General features: G+C 40.8%; 1 protein-coding gene across 5 annotated transcripts in view, besides 3 other annotated features; it reads left to right on the forward strand.

The window, feature by feature from the left end:
- Positions 7,376–18,549, forward strand: part of HPS3 (HPS3 biogenesis of lysosomal organelles complex 2 subunit 1) — a 44,095-nt gene continuing 32,921 nt past the window's right edge. For 4 of the 5 annotated variants that reach the window (XR_001740328.3, NM_032383.5, XM_047449064.1 and 1 more), the window contains exons 1-2: positions 7,376–7,678; positions 17,742–18,236. Coding sequence is in view for 4 of the 5 variants with exons in the window: in NM_032383.5 (NP_115759.2) it covers positions 7,462–7,678; positions 17,742–18,236 (712 nt within the window). In the remaining variant the exon portion in view is untranslated. The remainder of the gene's footprint in view (positions 7,679–17,741; positions 18,237–18,549) is intronic. The other variant, NM_001308258.2, reaches the window with a different exon arrangement.
- Positions 7,377–7,636: an enhancer, noted in NCBI's record as "active region_20679". NCBI's record gives its function as "activates an Ori minimal core promoter by ATAC-STARR-seq in GM12878 lymphoblastoid cells {active_cell/tissue: GM12878}" and the evidence as "EXISTENCE:reporter gene assay evidence [ECO:0000049][PMID:35858748]".
- Positions 7,377–7,917: a biological region, named in NCBI's record as "H3K27ac hESC enhancer GRCh37_chr3:148847467-148847966".
- Positions 7,418–7,917: an enhancer, noted in NCBI's record as "H3K27ac hESC enhancer chr3:148847467-148847966 (GRCh37/hg19 assembly coordinates)". NCBI's record gives its function as "activates a minimal SCP1, AML or CMV promoter by ChIP-STARR-seq in primed H9 embryonic stem cells {active_cell/tissue: H9 hESC(primed)}" and the evidence as "EXISTENCE:reporter gene assay evidence [ECO:0000049][PMID:30033119]".

Raw genomic sequence — 18,549 nt, forward strand, 5'->3', positions numbered from 1 at the left:
CACGCCTGGGTGATTTTTTGTATTTTAGTAGAGACAAGGTTTCACCGTGTTGCCCATACTGGTCTTGGAACTTCTGAGCTCAGGCAATCCCCCTGCCTCGGCCTCCCAAAATGCTAGGATTACAGGCATGAGCCACCGCGCCTGGCCTATAATATATATCAATTTTTTTCTTCTCTGCATTGTATTTTTGGTGTTGTATCTAAGAAATTTTTGTCTTACTCAAAGTCACAAAGATTTTCTTTTATGTTTTCTTCTAAGAAGTTTTAGGTTTTACATTGTCTACTACCTATTTTGAGTTAATCTTTATATGGTGCAAAGTTTCAAAGTTTACTTTTTGCATATTGATTTTTAATTGTTTTCATGAATTACTTGAAAAGACTATCCTTATTACACTGAATTGCCTTTGTACCTTTGTCAAAAATAATGTCAATATATTTTTTATTAAATATAGTGAATTATATTGATTGATTTTTTCCAGATGTTAAGCTAACCTTGCATTTCTGGGGTAAACTCTTCTTTGTTAATATATTATTCTTCCTATATATTGTTAGATTTAATTTGATAACATTTATTTAGAATTTTTGCATCTGTTGAGGTACATTGGTTTATAGTTCTCTTTTCTTGTGATGACTTTGTTTGGCTTAGTCATCAGAGTAATGCTGGCCTCACAGAGTAAGTTGGGAAGTATTTTCTTTTTTAACATTTCCTGAAAGATTCTGTAGACTTGGTATTTTTTTTCTTCCTTAAATATTTGGTAAATGGATACATGAAATCGTCTGTAGGTATTAGTTTTCTTTTTGAGAAGGTTCTTAGCTACAAATACAATTTCTTAAATAGATACAGCTATTCAGATTATTTCTTTTTGAGTGAGCTTTGGTAGCTTGTGCTTTCAAGAGTTTTTGTCCATTTCATCTACTTTGTTCACTATATTAGCATAAAATTATTTATAATATTCCCTTATTATTGTTTTAATATCTGAAGAATCTTTAATGACGTCACCCTTCTCATTCCTGATACTTGTAATATGTATTTTTATTCTCTCTTTTTTTTCCCGATAAGTCTGGCTAGAGTTGTACCAATTTTATTGATCTTTTCAAAGAAACAGCTTTTGGTTTTATTGATTTTCTCCAGTGTTTTTCTGTATTTGGTTTCGCTGAACTCTGCTCTGAACTTTATTTCCTTTCTTTTGATTACATTGGGTTTAATTTAGTCTTCTTTACTCTAGTTTCTGTTTTTTAAATTTTTTCTTTTTAAAAATCATCTTCCCCCATTCTGAGATCACTTTCTTAAGGTAGAAGCTGAGGTAATTAATTTGAAGTCATTCATCTTTTCTAATGTAGGTGTTATGTTTTTTTGTTTTCATTTTCATTCAGTTCAAAATATTTTCTAATTTTCCATTTGGTTAATTCTTTGACCTATGGCTTCTTTAGAAGTATGCTATTTAGTTCTTACATATTTGGAGATTTTCCAGACATCTTTCTGTCATTAATTTGTAATTTCATTCATCATAGCATCTTCCTCAAATTGCATTGGTCTGGCCAGGTGCGGTGGCTCATGCCTGTAATCCCAGCACTTTGGGAGGCCGAGGCGGGCGGATCACCTGAGGTCAGGAGTTCAAGACCAGCCTGACCAACATGGAGAAACCCCATCTCTACTAAAAATACAAAACAGGGTGTGGTGGCACATGCCTGTAATCCCAGCTACTCAGGAGCCTGAGGCAGGAGAATTGCTTGAACCCAGGAGATGGAGATTGCGGTGAGCTGAGATTGTGCCATTGCACTCCATCCTGGACAACAAGATCGAAACTCTGTCTCAAACAAAAAAAAAAAATTGCATTGGTCTGATGTTTTCCTCATTATTAAATTCAGTTTATGCAATTTTAATAAAAGTATCTCAGAAATGATGCTGTATTCTTATTCCTTCCCATCACATGATACACAATTTCACTTTTTCCTATTGACTAATTCTGATTTTCTCCTTTTGGTAATTATACTGTCCTTTCCTCTGCCGGCAGTGAGAAACTTGCCTTCCACTCTTCTTAATATACTGTATTTACTGAACAGATCAACCCTCCATGCCAGGCTGCCCCTCTCACATGAACACCCTCCTCACCCTGCGCTGGCTCTGACATTCCATCCTGGGCCACTCCTTCCCCCTGCAGGGACACTCTCTGCACCCTGCTCAGGCTCTAACACCTCAAACAAGCCCACCCCACGTATGGATGCCCTCCTCGTCCTGCATGAGTGCTCTCCTCACTAATCAGGCTCTGACACACCATAGCAATGCCCTCTTCACCCACTGTGGCCTCTGACTCCCCACACTAGGCCATACCACCCCATCATGGATGCCCTTTTCATTACATTTGGCTCTGCCTCTTCACTTGCATGGCTTCCTCTTCCCCCAACTATGGTGATCTTACTTTACTCCACCTAATAGTTTAAAGATGAATTTTTTGGGTGATAGAGAAAAGGAGAGGGAAGAGAAGGTGCAGTACTTTTTAAAAAAGTCTCTGGCTATTCTATGGAGAATAGACTAGAGCGGGGCAAAGAGTACAGCAGAGAAACCAGTTAGAAGGCATTTGCTTAGGTAAGAAACAATGGTGACAGGGACTGGGATGGTAGTGGTGATAAGGTGAAAAGTGGTCAGATTCTAAAGGCAGAACAGACAGGACTTGCTGATGGATTGGATGTAGGGTGTGAGAGAAAAACATGGGTCAGCCAGGCACGGTGGCTCACGCCTGTAATCCCCGCACCTTGGGAGGCTGAGGTGGGCAGATCACCTGAGGTCAGGAGTTTGAGACTAGCCTGGCCAACATGGTGAAACCCCGTCTCTACTAAAAATACAAAAATTAGCTGGGCATGATGGCAGGTGCCTGTAATCTCAGCTACTCGAGAGGCTGAGGCAGGAGAATCGCTTGAACCCAGGAGGCAGAGGTTGCAGTGAACCAAGATCGCCCCATTGCACTCCAGCCTGGGGGACAAGAGTAAGACTGTCTCAAAAAAAAAAAAAAAAGCAAAGAAACAGGAAAAGGTGGGCCAATGATATTCCTGGGCTTTTGGCCTTTGGCCTAAGTGACTGGTGCTAGTTACCTAGTTAGGGAAGATAAGAGGTGGATGCAGGGCATGAAGGAATCAGAAGTTTAGTTTTGGACATCTTAAGTCTGAAAATGACAGAGAATAGAGATGTTAAATTGGTGACATAGTATGGATGTGTGCCCCCACCTAAATCTCATCTTGAATTGCAATCTTCAATGTTAGAGGTGGAGTCTGGTAGGAGATGATTGGACCACGGGGATGGATTTCTCATGCATGGTTTAGTACCCTCCCCTTGGTACTGTCCTCGTGACAGGGAGTGACTTCTTGAGAGATCTGGCTGTTTAAAAGTGTGTGGCACCTCTCTCCTCTCTCTCTTTTTTTCTGCTTGGGCCATGTGATATGCCTGCTCCCCCTTCACCTTCTATAATGATTGTAAGTTTCTTGAGACTTCCCCAGAAGCTGAGCAGATGCCAGCATCATGCTTCCTATGCAGCCTGCAAAACCGTGAGCCAATTAAACTTATTTTCTTTATAAATTACCCAGTCTCGGGTGTTTCTTTATAGCAATGTGAGAACAGCCTAACACAATTGGATATTCCAGGTCAGAGCTCAAGGAAGCTGAGAGCTAGAGATATAAATTCAGGGGTTCTTAGTATTTAGATAATTTTTAAAGTGATGGGATTGGTTGATTTCACTGAAAGAGTGAGTATAGATGGAGAGAACATATTCATCTAATTTTAGAGTTCAGAGAAAGGAGGGATAGGATCCAGTAAAGGAGACAGAGGAGGAAAATCAGAAGTGGACTGTCAGAAGCCCAGTGAAGAGAATGACTTAAGAAGAGAGAGTGATACAATGCTGCTGACGGGTCAAGATGAGAGCATTAGTTTTGGCAATGTGGGAGATCTTAAAGGCAAGGATACCCTCTAAATGCAGCAAGCCAGGAAAACTACAGAAGTGGCCTGCCTGTGCCACTTTGGCAAAGAAAACTAGGGAAGAGAGGGGAGAGAAGAGGAGGCTAGGGAAGAGAGAAGGAGGGCCATTTGGAGCTGTCGTTTCCACCTCCTTACACCCCACCAACTGCTCTATCTGAAGGCTGAGGGCTGGACACCTCAATGCTGGCACCTGATTTCCCCAAGTGCCTTGGGCTTCTCTGACAGTAGTGATGGTGTTGTTTAGAGATGCAGAAACCACTTCATCCATTGCTCTGAGAGAGTCACGTTCTATTCTTCAGGAAGCATGCTTACAACACCAACCTAATTTTTAAAAAATCTTTCAGAGGCCCCTTTTTTAAGATGCAAAAATAGGCCGGGCGCGGTGGCTCACGCCTGTAATCCCAGCACTTTGGGAGGCCGAGGCGGGCGGATCACGAGGTCAGGAGATCGAGACCATCCCGGCTAAAACGGTGAAACCCCGTCTCTACTAAAAATACAAAAAATTAGCCGGGCGTAGTGGCGGGCGCCTGTAGTCCCAGCTACTTGGGAGGCTGAGGCAGGAGAATGGCGTGAACCCGGGAGGCGGAGCTTGCAGTGAGCCGAGATTGCGCCACTGCACTCCAGCCTGGGCGACAGAGCGAGACTCCGTCTCAAAAAAAAAAAAAAAAAAAAAAAAAAAAAAAAAAAGATGCAAAAATAATGGAGCCACCTATGCAAATAGTGGTCAGCTACCTTTTGGGAATTCCTATACACTTTCCTTGTTTGTTTTTTGTGACTTTTCCAGAAAGAACTTTGAGGAAATAAAGAAATAAAAAATGAGAAGTAAATGGTATTTTGTGAGTGACTTTCTCAACACATTCTCTAAGACCAATGCAGATATCCCGAGGTACCTCACAGATGGGATAGGAAATCAGTGCTCCAGAGATCCAGAATCCTTCTTTTCTAGGCTGGTTGAGTAGAGCTCTTTGTCCATGTTGTTGCAGAACCATTTTTGTAGCCATCCCCAGTGGTGTTGTCACCTAGAAGAAACTTGGGGGAGCTTTTTACCCACATAGCACCCTCAATCTCCCCAGCAAATACAGCTTAAAGAAGTTCTAGGGCCAGGTGCAGTGACTCATGCCTGTAATCCTAGCACTTTGGGAGGCTGAGGTGAGAGTATCGCTTGAGTCCAGGAGTTCAAGATCAGCCTGGGCAATATAGTGAGACCCTATCTCTACAAAAATTTTAAAAATTAGCCAGGCATGGTGGTATGTGCCTATAGTTCCTGCTAATCTGGAGGCTGGGATGGGAGGATTGCTCGAGCTCAGGTGGTCAAGGGTACAGTGAGCCATGATCACACTGCTGCACTCCAGCCTGGGTGACAGAGCGAAACCCCATCTCTTTAAATAAGAAAGAAAAGAAAGAAAGAGAGAGAAAGGAGGGAAGGAAGGAAGAAAGTTCTCAAGACAACCCTTTTCAACAGAGTGCTACCCTAAGTGCATGTGCTATGGGCTAAATTGTGTCTTCCCCCCAAATTCATATGTTGAATCTGTAACCTCCAATACCTCAGAATGTGACTGTATATAGAGATAGGGCCTTTAAGAAATAATTAAGGTTAAATAAGATCATAAGGGTGGGTCCTAATCTAATATGGCTGGTATCTTTATAAGACAAGGGAAGGACACCAGGGATGCAGGCACACAGAGGAAAGACCATAGGAACACATAATAAAAAGGTAGTCATCTTCAAGCCAAGGAGAAGGGGCTTCAGGAGAAACCATACCTGCTGACATCTTATCTTGGACTTCTAGCCTCCAGACCTGTGAAAATGAAATATCTATTGTGTAAGCCACCCAGTCTGTGGTGTTTTGTTATGGCAGCCCTTGCAAACAAATGCAACCTCCCGCAAGGAATTGATGGTGTGCCATTGCTGCCCCTGCATTCGTAACAGGAATACAAGTGGGCAGCTCCTGCTCACAGCTCCTGACAAACGTGGAAACCAGACACATGCCCCACCTTCCCTTGGGTAGCATGTCTCTTCCCAAAGAATCTTAGATGAGTCAGGTGCAGTGACTACAGCAAGGAAGAAGACACTATCTCTAGGAAGGAATGGGGTTCCAGGTTTTGAGCAAATCTCACTTCTTTCTCCAAAACAGACATTCTTTTTATGCAGGTGAAATTACACTAAAGTTAATATCAGTCTTCATTAGGAGAAAATTGAATTAGGATAATTAAGTCTTGAAGAAGAAAATTAAGCCAAAAAGAATAATATGGCAGATACTTGTGGAAAGGAATCTTTTTTACTATTGATTTTGATATTTGCTCTTAAGTTTTGTATCTAGAACAAATAACTTGTGGACTATTAGTCTGGTTGTTTTCCATAGGAGCCTTCTGTGATTTTTTGCAGCCCTAGTTCCTGACCTGAGCTACCTCCATGTTTACTTCTCTAACTCACTGAGTTTGACGAACCTGTTGTTTCCCATTACTTAGAGGTACTTTATTCATCTGAAGGGCCTAGGAAAGGGAGGCAAGTTTAACTTCAATCCAATTGCATCTAATTTACAAATTCTGAACTGGAAACTGACTGAAGAAAATGTTGCACTTTCATTTATGTCCCTGTGTGCCTAAATAAAACAGCATCCCTCAATCCATGCTAACACATATATTTTCTAGGTGAACTGGACAAAGTTATACTACTTGTTTTATCTAAATCTGATTTTTTTAGAAAAGGGAAAGTGTTGCGATCGTGAACTCCACGTTGAGATGTCAGGAATAGATAATTTACTGCATAGTTTTAGGAGCACTGGACTGAAAGCCAGGGGATTTCCCTCCTAGTTCTTCTATCCTCTGGGGCTCAAACTAGTCTTTTGTCAAATGCCTACAAGATGAAGTCCATGGATTCTTTCTTTCAACAAATATCTTTTTGCCAAGCACGTTCAAGGCTTTGCTCTTTCCAGCTGAACTATTCTAGAATTTCCATTATTTTAAAGCAACTCTTCAGAGTGTTTAGCCCCGAGTTGCACCCCATTTCAGTTTTTGCAACCCCATCCTCCAGAAGCTCAGGGACTACTGAAGAGACATGAATAACGCTCCTCAAAGTAAGTACAAAATGTTACAAGATAGATGATGAATTGTCAGAACGTACTCAAAAGCCAAAACATACCGCCTGGCCCAAAGCAGTAAAAGACGAAAGGCAGGGACCCAGCGGTCCCCGCACCCACCGGCCACTGAGCATAGAGCAGTGGCAAGCTCGCGCGGCGGAGTGGGAGGCGCAGAGACCGAAAGCACTGCAGCGCCAGAGCGCGGGCTGACCAGGCTGGCGTGACCGCTTTCCCGACGCCTGCCACGCCCCGCGGCGGCCTCTTTAAGTAGCGGAGCCGCGGGCGGGGCCGGCTGGCGTTCACGTGACCCGGCGTCATTGGCTCGCTCGCGGAAGTAGTCCTACATTCGCGGTCAGCGCGGGGTCTCCGGGCGCCCTGCAGGGCGGGCAGGCTGTGCCATCCCGCCGGACGTCGGGATGGTGCAGCTGTACAACCTGCACCCGTTCGGGTCGCAGCAGGTGGTGCCCTGCAAGCTGGAGCCGGACCGGTTCTGTGGCGGGGGGCGTGACGCGCTTTTCGTGGCGGCGGGCTGCAAGGTGGAGGCGTTCGCGGTGGCCGGCCAGGAGCTGTGCCAGCCGCGGTGCGCCTTCTCCACGCTGGGCCGGGTGTTGCGCCTGGCCTACAGCGAGGCTGGTGAGTAATCTAGAGAGCCAGGGGCCGCCTGGGGTCCAGCTTGAGGCCTCCTAGCTAGCGGACCGAACGTCTGGGCTGTAGCTCTAGCTAGGGATGGGACTTCTTGCTTCCCGGAATTTGCCGGATGGTCTCCCTGGGTCTGGCCGCTGATTGCTTGAAGTCGCATTGAGCTATGCGGTTGTCGCGGCAAGCATAGGTATGAGCTTGCTTCTGTCGGGGCGGAGACGCTGACATCTCTTCGTCTTGGTTTTCTGCAGAAAGGCCTCTGGCTGGATTCCACTCATCTCGGATACTTAAGCAAACAACAACAAAAAACTCTTTAGTGCATCAGATTTCAAAGACTTACCAAAAAAACAAGTAGGAATAAGGAGACTAGTACTGTATCCCGGAACCTCCAAGTACTCCCAGCTTTAACAATTATTCCAACTCTTGGCAGTTCTTTCACATCTGTACCTCCATCTACTTCCGGTCGGTTTTTGAAAGCTCACATTATGTGTTGATTTTTAAATGTGTGTAAGTAGAACTCAGACTGCCCCCCTCTCTTCTCTTAAACATCTGTGGCCGGGCGCAGTGGCTCACGCCTGTAATCCCAACACTTTGGGAGGCTGAGGCAGGCGGATCACGATGTTAGGAGTTCGAGACCAGCCTGGTCAATTTATTGAAACCCCGTCTGTACTAAAAATACAAAAATTAGCCGGACGTGGTGGTGGGCGCCTGTAGTCTCAGCTACTTGGGAGGCTGAGGCAGGAGAATCGCTTGAACCGGGGAGGCGGAGATTGCCCCATTGCACTCCAGTTTAGGCGACAGAGTGAGACTCCGTCCCAAAACAAACAAAAACAAACAGTTGTAAGAGCAGCCGTTACTCTTTCACACCAGAAATGTGAAGCAATACCAAGGAAATACTGTGTGGGTGAATCCTATTTTAGAAAAATCCAACATTTAAAACTAGATCCCTTTTAGATTACAGAAGAATTTACCATATAATTCCTTTAATACACTTACCTTCGATTCATACTTTACAAGATGGGTGTAAAGTTCAGTATTTACGTTGCAAAAGCTGGTGGCTATGCTATTAATGAAGTGGAGAACTTGAACCTGGAAGATTGGAGATCTCTCTCTAATCCCTACCCCGCAGCTGGTTCGGTGTGAGTTTATAGAAACCTTGGGGTCTGAGTTTATGTTAAAAAAAAAAAAAAAAAACAAAAAGTTGAATAAATAGATCAGTGATATCCAGACCCTGGGATTTCGTGGCTCAATTAAAAACTGTGGGGTTACCATACATAGTATCTGACTGCTTATTTTGTCAAGTAAAGACATATACAGGCATACCTTGTTTTTTTTGCATTTCACTTTGTTGTACTTTGCCGATACTGCGTGTTTTTTTCTCCCCAATTGAAAGTTTGTGGCAACTCTGTGTGGAGCAAATCTACCAGTTCCATTTTTCACACTGCATGTGCTCACTACATGTCTCTTGAGTCACATTTTGATAGTTCTTGGCAATATTTCAAACTTTATCATAATTATTGTATCTATTACGGTGATCAGCAATCTTTGATGTTACTATTGTAGTAGTTTTGGGGTGCCATGAACTGTGCCCATGTGAGATGGTGAACTTAATTGATATGTGTTGTGTATGTTCTGATTACTGCTCTGATCGTCTCTGCCTGCTCAGGCTGCCCTAGGCCCTGAGACACAACAATATTGAAATCAGGCCAATTAATAACCCTACAATGTCTTCTAAATGTTCAAGTGACACTTGGACGTCTCTCACTTTAAATCAAAAGCTAGAAATGATTAAGCTTAGTGAGGAAGGCAGGCGTGTCAGAAGCTGAGATAGGCTGCACGGTAGGCCTCTTGGACCAAACACTTAGCCAAGTTGTGACTGCAAAGGAAAAGTTCTTGAAATTAAGTGTTACTCCAGTGAACACAAATGATTAGAAAGCCTTATTGCTGATAGGAAAAAAACTTTGCTCTAGGTAGAAGATCAAGCCAGCCAAAATACTCCCTTAAGCCCAGGCTTAATACAGAGCAAGGCCCTCTGTTCAACTCTGTGAATGCTGAGAGAGGTGAGGAAGCAGCAGAATAAAAGTTTAAAGCTAGCAGAGTTCAGCTCATGAGGTTTAAGGGAAGAAGCTGTCTCCATAATATAAAAGTGCAAGGTGAAACAGCAAGTGATGATGTAGAATCTGCAGCAAGTTATCCAGAAGTCCAGAAGATATAGCTAAGATGAGTTTATGGAGGCAGCTGTGCTAAACAACAGATTTTTTCAGTGTAGACAAAACAGTCTTAAATTGGAAGAAGATGCCATCTAGGACTTTCTTGGCTAGAGAGGAGAAGATAATGCCTGGCTTCAAAGAACAGGCTGACTCTTGTTAGGGGGTGATGCAGCTGGTGACTAAATTGAGGCCAGTTCTCATTTACCATTCTGAAAATCATAGGGCCCTTTTAAAAATTATGCTAAATCTACTCTGCCTGTGCTTTAGAATGAAAAAAGCCTGGGTGACAGCACAGCTGTTACAACATTGTTTACTGAATATTTTAAGCCCACTGTTTTGATCTACTGCTCAGAAAACAATATTCTTTTCAAAAGATTACTGCACATTGACAATGCACCTAGTCCCTCAAGACCTCTGATGGAGATGTAGAAGGAGATTGATGTTGTTTTTATGCCTGCTAACACAGCATCCATTCCGCAGCCCATGGATCAAGTAGTAATTTTGACTTTCAAGTCTCATTATTAAAGAAATACATTTGGTAAGGCTATAACTGCCACAGATAAGTGATTCTTCTGATGGATCTGGGCAAAATAAATTGAAAATCATCTGGAAAGAATTCACTCTTTCTAGATGCCATTAAAAACATTCAGGATTCATGGAAGGAGATCAGATACCAACATTAACAGGAGTTTGGAAGTAGTTGATTCCAACTCTCATGGATGACTTTGAGGGGTTCAAGACTTAGGTGGATGAAATAACAGTAGATGTAGTGGAAATAGCAAGAAAGCTAGAATTGGAAGTGGAGCCTGAAGATGTGTTGGAATTCCTGCAATCTTATGATCAAACTTGAATGGGTGAGGAGTTGCTTCTCATGGATGAACAAAGAAAGTGGTTTCTTGAGATGGAATTGTTTCTATTGAAGATGCTGGGAACATTGTTCAAAAGACAACGAAGATTTAGAATATTTCATAAACTTAGTTGATAAAGCAATGAGAAGGTTTGAAAAGATTAACTCCAATTTTGAAGTTCTGCTGTGGGTAAAATGCTATCAAATAGCATTGCATGCTCCAGAGAAATCTTTTGTGAAAGGAAGAGTCAATTGATGGAGCAAACTTAATTGTTTTATTTTTTTATTTTATTTTATTTTATTTTATTTTTTTGAGACAGAGCTTCACTCTTGTTGGCCAGGCTGGAGTGCAGTGGCGTGAACTCGGCTCACCACAACCTCCACCTCCCAGGTTTAAGCAATTCCCAGCCTCAGCCTCCCAAGTAGCTGGGGTTACAGGCATGCGCTACCACTTGTGGCGAATTTTGTATTTTTAGTAGAGATGGGGTTTCTCCATGGTTGGTCAGGCTGGTCTCAAACTCCCGACCTCAGGTGATCCACCCGCCTTGGCCTCACAAAGTGCTGGCATTACAGGTGTGAGCCACTGTGCCCGGCCCATTGTTGTCTTATTTTAAGGATTTGCCACAGCCACCCCAGCCTCCAGTGACCACCACCCTGATCAGTCAGCAGCCATCAGCATCGGGGCAAGACCCTTCACCAGTGAAAAGATATGTCTCGTTAAAGGCTTGGATGATCGTTAGCATTTTTTTTAGCAATAAAATATTTTTAGTTAAGGTATGTACATTGCTTTGTTTTTTTGTTTGTTTGTTTTTTAGGTATAATGCAATTTCACACCTAATAGACTATAATCTAGTACAAACATAACTTTTTTATGCACTGGGAAACCAAAAAATTTATGTGACTCTTTTTATTGCATTATTTGCTTTATTGCGGTGGTCTGGAAGCAATCCTCCAATATCTCTGGGATATGCCTGTGTTTTTTTTTAAAAAAAATGAAAAGCCTTACTATTTACTGTCATTATTTATAAAAGAAAAAACACTTAGCATCAAACATTGGATATCTTTAGCTTTGTGAACAACTTACTCTGCTGTCATTGGTTTTTTGTTTTTGTTTTTGCCTAATGACAACATTAGCAGGGGCCTGCACTGGGCCACGGACCTGTTTGAAAAACCTCTCATTAACTCTTTAAGTTCCCTTTCAGCAGGAATATTCCAATTTTGGTATTATAAAATCTGTCTTTAATGGTCATACCTGTTAAAATATTGGTAGTTTTCTCTACGTCACTCCTTTTAAGGCATAAGAGTTCTCACTTTCAAGAGTTCTACTGAGTAACAAACTCACCACTTTCAACTTTTATATGTGTGTGTGTGTGAGAGAGAGAAAGAAAGACAGGGACAGACAGGCATACACACAGACAGATAATATGTTTACATGATTTACTTCATTCTTCCAAGTGGATGTTTATTTTAGAATTTGGAGTGGCAGGTATTATGTAAACTTCTAGCTTTCTTACCTGTCGGATCCTTGGATGGCCACTACCTATGCATACGAATCACTTGGGGAGTTTTTAAAAATCTCTATGCCTGGGCCAAACCCTCAGAGATACAGTAGTAGTTTCCCTGGAGTGAGGACAGCATTGGGGTGAGTCAGATATTTAATCAGGGTTGAGAACCGCTGATCTAGAGCAGTACTGGCTGCAGGAGGCCATGAGTAGCATTGTAACCTCATTAACGAGGCCTTGAACAATAAAGATGTTTTTATAATCCAGTTGGCTGCCTTACAGCAGGTTCAAGAGTCATGTGGGATGGAATTAGCATCACGGGTCATGTAGCTCAAGGGTAAGTTTCAGTCCACAGCTTGAACTTCAACCCCTGGGTACAGCTCCTATTAATGCACCCACAAATGAACATAAATAGAGCTGACTCTGGCTATGATGGTATCCAGATAACTTGTTTTCCACTTCACAGCTTTTCCCTTTTGGCCCCTTCCTTCCATTCACAATAACTGGGACATGAGGATTCCGGCTCAATGCCCAGTGTCCTCCTCTGTAGCAAGTCTCCTCCTCAAAAATGGAAAGAATCTTACATCAGCCATCTATGTTTACTAAAAATGCTTTTCAGGTCTCTACTCAAGCAGAAAACATTTTCAGGTTAAAAAAAATCTCAAATTAGCTGAAAGTTTTTAAAATAAAATTTGGGGGTATTAGGGAGAAAGCAGGTAGAAATTTTGAAGGATGGGGACCTCTGACATCGTCATCAGTAAGGGAAAATAAATTTAGGCTTTGTGTGTGATACGGTTTGGCTGTGTCCTCAGCTAAAATCTCATCTTGAATTGTAGTCCCCATAACCCCCACGTGTCAAGGGCGGGACCAGGTGGAGGTAATTGGATCATGGGGACAGTTTCCCCCATGCTGTTTCTCATGATAGTGAATTCTCATGAGATCTGATGGTTTTTAAGTGTCTGGCATTTCCCCTACCCACACTTATTTTCTGTCCTGCCGCCCTGTGAAGAGGTGCCTTCCACCATGATTATAAGTTTTCTGAGGTCCCCCCAGCCATGCAGAACTGCGAGTCAATTAAACCTGTTTTCTTTATTACCCAGTCTCAGGTATTTGCTTGTAGCAGTAATGTGAAAATGGACTAATACAGTGTGTAAAGCAAAGAAGAGGGGAGACCTGAGAACTCCTCACTCCTGAAAGAGAAAGACCTGGTGGCCAGGGTTGAGTGCTGTATGGGGACCTTTGGTGGTAGACACTTGTTTATGGGGTGTCTAGGGGTGGTGGGGCATGGAGGATGCAGACCACAAGGCTGTAATTGCCTGGCCATTAGCACAAGTGTACTAAACCAGCCCCAGCCCATCTACCCCTCCCACAAGCCCTACTTTCTCTCAGTTTTCCTGGAGTCATAAAACATATTTAGATGCCTTATAAATTATTTCTGCCTTGTGATTCAATTTTGTCATAGGAGTACAGCCTTTGATCTGGTATTACTGTTAGCCATGTTTGTGATCTTGCTACATAAAAGGGAAAGTTTACTTATTTTTAAAAATCAGTAACTCTAAGCTCAAGAGTAAAAATGAGAATGATTTTTCAATGTACTTAATAAAGACAGAAGCTGAGCCTGGGCTACATAGTGAAACCCTGTTTCTACATATGTGTGTGTGTATATATATACACACACACATTATAATATATGTATATACATATATATATACACACACACACACAAATTAGCCAAGTGTGGTGGCTCACACCTGTAGTTCCACCTACTTGAGAGGCTGAGGTGGAAGGATCACTTGAGTCCGGGAGGTGGAGGTTGCAGTGAGCCAAGACAACTTGGGCAACGGAGCAAGACACTTAAATTTAAAAAAGGTAAAATGAGGCACTGCACACATAAAGCTTAAAAAATTTAGTTCCCTTCTCTTTTAAAGGGTTATAGCCTCCACAGACTCCTGTAGAGTTGTATTTCCCTTCTATCAGTTGGGGAAACAGCATTACTGGGCAAAGAACATAAACTTTTGAGCTAACCAGATCTAGGTTTGAGTCCCAGTTTCCTAATTTGTTCGTTGTGTTGCCTTGGACAAGTTACTTTGCTTGTCTGTGCTTCAGATTCCTGATGTATAAAATGAGGAGGGAGATTTGTATCTTAAAGGGCTGTTGTGAGAGTTAATTGAAGGAACTCTAAAGCTCTGATCATAAGGATTGTCAGGCAGGCACATTTAGCAAGTGCTGGATCATCATTTAAAGACCAGGTCATTAATCTGAAAGCACACAATACAACATGGACACTATCTACAATTTGCATACTATAAACATTAGTTAATATATGAATTTTATAGATGAAATGGGCATGTATTTATAGGTATATGAATAAAAAGGTTTTATTGTAATTAAATATTCTTAGTTTTAAAATTTATTTACTAAATTATGATACCAAAAGTATAGGCAACAGAAGAAAAATAGATAAACTAGACTTTATCAAAGTTAATGACTGTTGTATATCAAAAGACTCATCAACAGATTGAAAAGACAACATGGAATGGGAGAAAATATTTCCGAATCATATATCTCATAAGGGATTAATATCTAGAATATATACAATAAAGAACTCTTACAACTCAACAACAACCAAAAAAACTTGATTAAAAAATGGGCTAAGGACTTGAATAGACATTTCTACAAAGAAGAAAATACATAAACGGCAAAAAACATAAGAAAAGATGCTCAAAATCACTGATAATTAGGGAAATGCAAATCCAAACCACAGTGAGATAGCACCTCACACCCATTAGTATGCCTGTTATTAATAAAACAGAAATTAACGTGTTGGGGAGAATGTGGAGAAATTGGAACCCTTAAACGTTGCTGGTAGGAATGTAAAATAACACAGCCTATGTGGAAAACAATATGGCAGTTTCTCAAAACATTAAACATAGAATTACCATATGATCCAGCAATTCCACTTCTGGGTGTATACCCAAAATAATTGAAAGCAGGGACTTGAATGGATACATGCACACCAATGTTTGTAGCAAAATTATTCACAAGAGCCAAAAGGTGGAAACAGTCCAAGGATCCATTGACAAGTAAATGAGTAAATAAAATATATTGTATGAACATACAATAGAGTATTATTTGGCCTTAATGAAATTCTGATGCATGCCACAACCTGGATAAATCTTAGAGAAGTTATGCTAAGTGATACAAGCCTGATACAAAAGGAAAAATACTATATGGTTCAACTTACATGAGGTACCTAGAGTAGTCAAATTCATAGAGATAGTATAATGGTGGTCTCACCCTGGGGAGAGGGAGGAATAGGGAATTATTATTTAATCAGTGCAGAGTTTTTTAGTAGATGAAAAAGTTAGTTATAGAGATGGATGGTAGTGATGGTTGCATAGCAATGAGAAGATACCAGTGCCACTGATCTGTAGACTTAAAAATGGTGAAAATGTACATTTTATGTTGTGTGTATCGTACTACAATAAAAAAAATTTATTTATTTACTGGGGGAATTTTAGGAAGATGGAGGCCTCAACTTCATCCCAACTCTGTCCAAACTGCTTCCCTGGAAAAGTGAACAAACTTAGGGCACCTGCAGGATCTCTTTAGGCATTCTACGATCTCCAGGGAAAGAACAGGTTCAGGCTCCATCTCTGTGGCATAAAAAGAACCATCATCAGGAGAAAGCTTGCTACCTGTAGAAGTCAGGATCATTTTGGAGGAGGGAGCCTGGTCAGCCCAGTGAATGTCTGCAGAAAGGGGCAGCACCTGTTTGCTTGCCTCATAAGTACATGGGAAGTCAATGTAATGGCAGCATTTCAATTTCAATTCATCGGAAAAGGGCCAATTTGCTTAATAGTGTTAATATAATAGAGTCTACATTTGGAAGAAGTGACATTAGATCCTCTGACTTATCTCCTTCTTTACCCGCAAAATTCTAAAGATTAAAAATGTATATTTTCTAAACCTCCACTAAAATAGAAGAAAATATAGGAGCATATTTATGTAATTTGGAGGACATGGATGGGAACTCAGAAGGCAAGGAGGAAAAGATACATATAGTATACTCTAAATAAAAAGGGTATGGTAAAACATGCCATCAGCAAAGTCAAAATCAGAAAATAGACTCTAAAACCATTTACTATTTATAGACGACAAAAGGTTTATATCCCTTTTAAGTAGAGAGCTACAGTGTCATGATAAGAAAAACAAATGAACAACTTAATAAAAATTGGACATCATGCAGAAGAGAAACTATACATGGCTGATAAACGTAGGAAAAGATGGCCAGCTTTATAAAAAGGTCTAGGAAATGTAAATTATAATAGCCGTGAGAGTCCATGTTTCTCTCATTGTGTAGAGTCAGTGCTAGTGAGGATGTGGGGAAACAGGTGTGTTTAAGCACTGCTGCTGGTAACATGAATTTCTATTATCTAATTGATAGTAATTGGGCAATATTGAAATTTAAAATGCCCATGCCCTTTGGCCCAACATATCTCACTTTTGGGAATCTGTACCGTTAAAATAAATCCCCCAGTAAATAAATATATAGATATAAGCCTATGTATTACTATGAAACATAGTGGCAAAAAACCCTGGAAATATATTTGAATGCTTATCAGTAAGGGAATTATTGAATAAATTATGCGTATGTATGTACATATGGGATGTTGAACATATTGAAAAGGATGTTAGATATCCATGTATCAGCCTGGAGGGAGAGATTTATTAATAATTTTTAAAAGTTGCAGATTGTTAAATATATTTAATATGATTACATTTTAGTTTTTGTTCATTTTTAAAAAAGACAGAATACCTCTCTGTGATCTCTGTTTATATGAGAGAAAGGTGTTGAAAGGCACATACCAGGCTGTGTGTTAACATTGGGTCCTCAAGGGGGAGATCATTATGCTTTTCATTTTGCATCTCTTTACCACGTTACCATTTTGACTTCCCACAACCAATATATGTTTATAAGTTAAAACTTATACAATCAACAATTTAGAGAAAATTAACTTGGATCTGTATTTTCTTTGCTATTTCCAACTTTATCCTGTTTCTCAGACTTGTGACTTGTGGGAAGGAGAGGGTTTGAAATGTAAATTCTGCTAATCTGAGAATTCCTTAATGTATACCTAATTTTGGTGTCACCCTAATAGTGAATTCTGTGTCAGTAGAGCTTTGTTAGAACTGCAGATTTAGAGCTACAGTAAACACTTAATTTTACATTTTATTCCTTATATGAACTTTCTGTATGTTACATGGGCAATTAATAGGTTGTCTTAAGACACTCAGATGGGAGAGATTGCATTTCAGAACCTCAAAGCCTAATGTCAGTCAAAAATACACCTAAGATTTTGTTACTTAGGGTTTTATTCTATTCAGTCTTTAATTCGACCATTTGTGTTAGAATTCATTAATAGTACTCATGTCAGCAAGGGAGGTGGTTGTATTTCTAATTACAAATTCTCAGTATAATCTTCATTCCTTCTCAGGAGATTATTTGGTAGCAATTGAAGAGAAAAACAAAGCTACATTTCTACGTGCTTATGTGAACTGGAGAAATAAAAGGACTGAAAACTCTCGTGTGTGTATCCGAATGATTGGGCATAATGTGGAGGGACCATTCAGCAAAGCCTTCAGAGACCAGATGTACATTATTGAAATGCCGCTTTCGGAGGCCCCCTTGTGCATTTCCTGTTGCCCTGTGAAAGGAGACCTTCTCGTTGGCTGCACAAATAAATTAGTCTTATTTAGTTTGAAGTACCAGATCATTAATGAGGAATTCTCACTATTGGACTTTGAACGTTCTTTAATTATACACATAGATAATATCACTCCTGTTGAGGTTTCTTTTTGTGTTGGATATGTTGCTGTCATGTCAGACTTAGAAGTCTTAATCGTAAAACTGGAGTCAGGCCCTAAAAATGGAGAGAGAGTTCACCACCATCCACATAAGACCAACAATCGAATAAGACGGACAGAAGAAGGTAAATAATGAATTTGACTTGCTTTCTTGTTTTAGGAATATAGAAAACCTTCACCTTTGGCAGTCTGAAGGTCTGTGGTATATATGGTGCCCGGCCATGTTATTTATAGATTTAGTTATTCCTATTTCATGGGATTTGGTTTTATGATCTGGCTGTCCATAGCTTACTCTGTAGCATGTGAATATATTTATCAGTAGAAGTAATGGAACAACCACTGCTAGATGAGGGGCTTCTAGTCCTAGTCCTCATAGTTACTAGTTGAATGACCTTGGGTTAATAATACCATCTCTGAGTTTCAACATCCTCATTTGTA

This window comes from Homo sapiens, chromosome 3 (genome assembly GCF_000001405.40).
Source record: "Homo sapiens chromosome 3, GRCh38.p14 Primary Assembly".
Taxonomy (NCBI): Eukaryota; Metazoa; Chordata; class Mammalia; order Primates; family Hominidae; genus Homo; species Homo sapiens.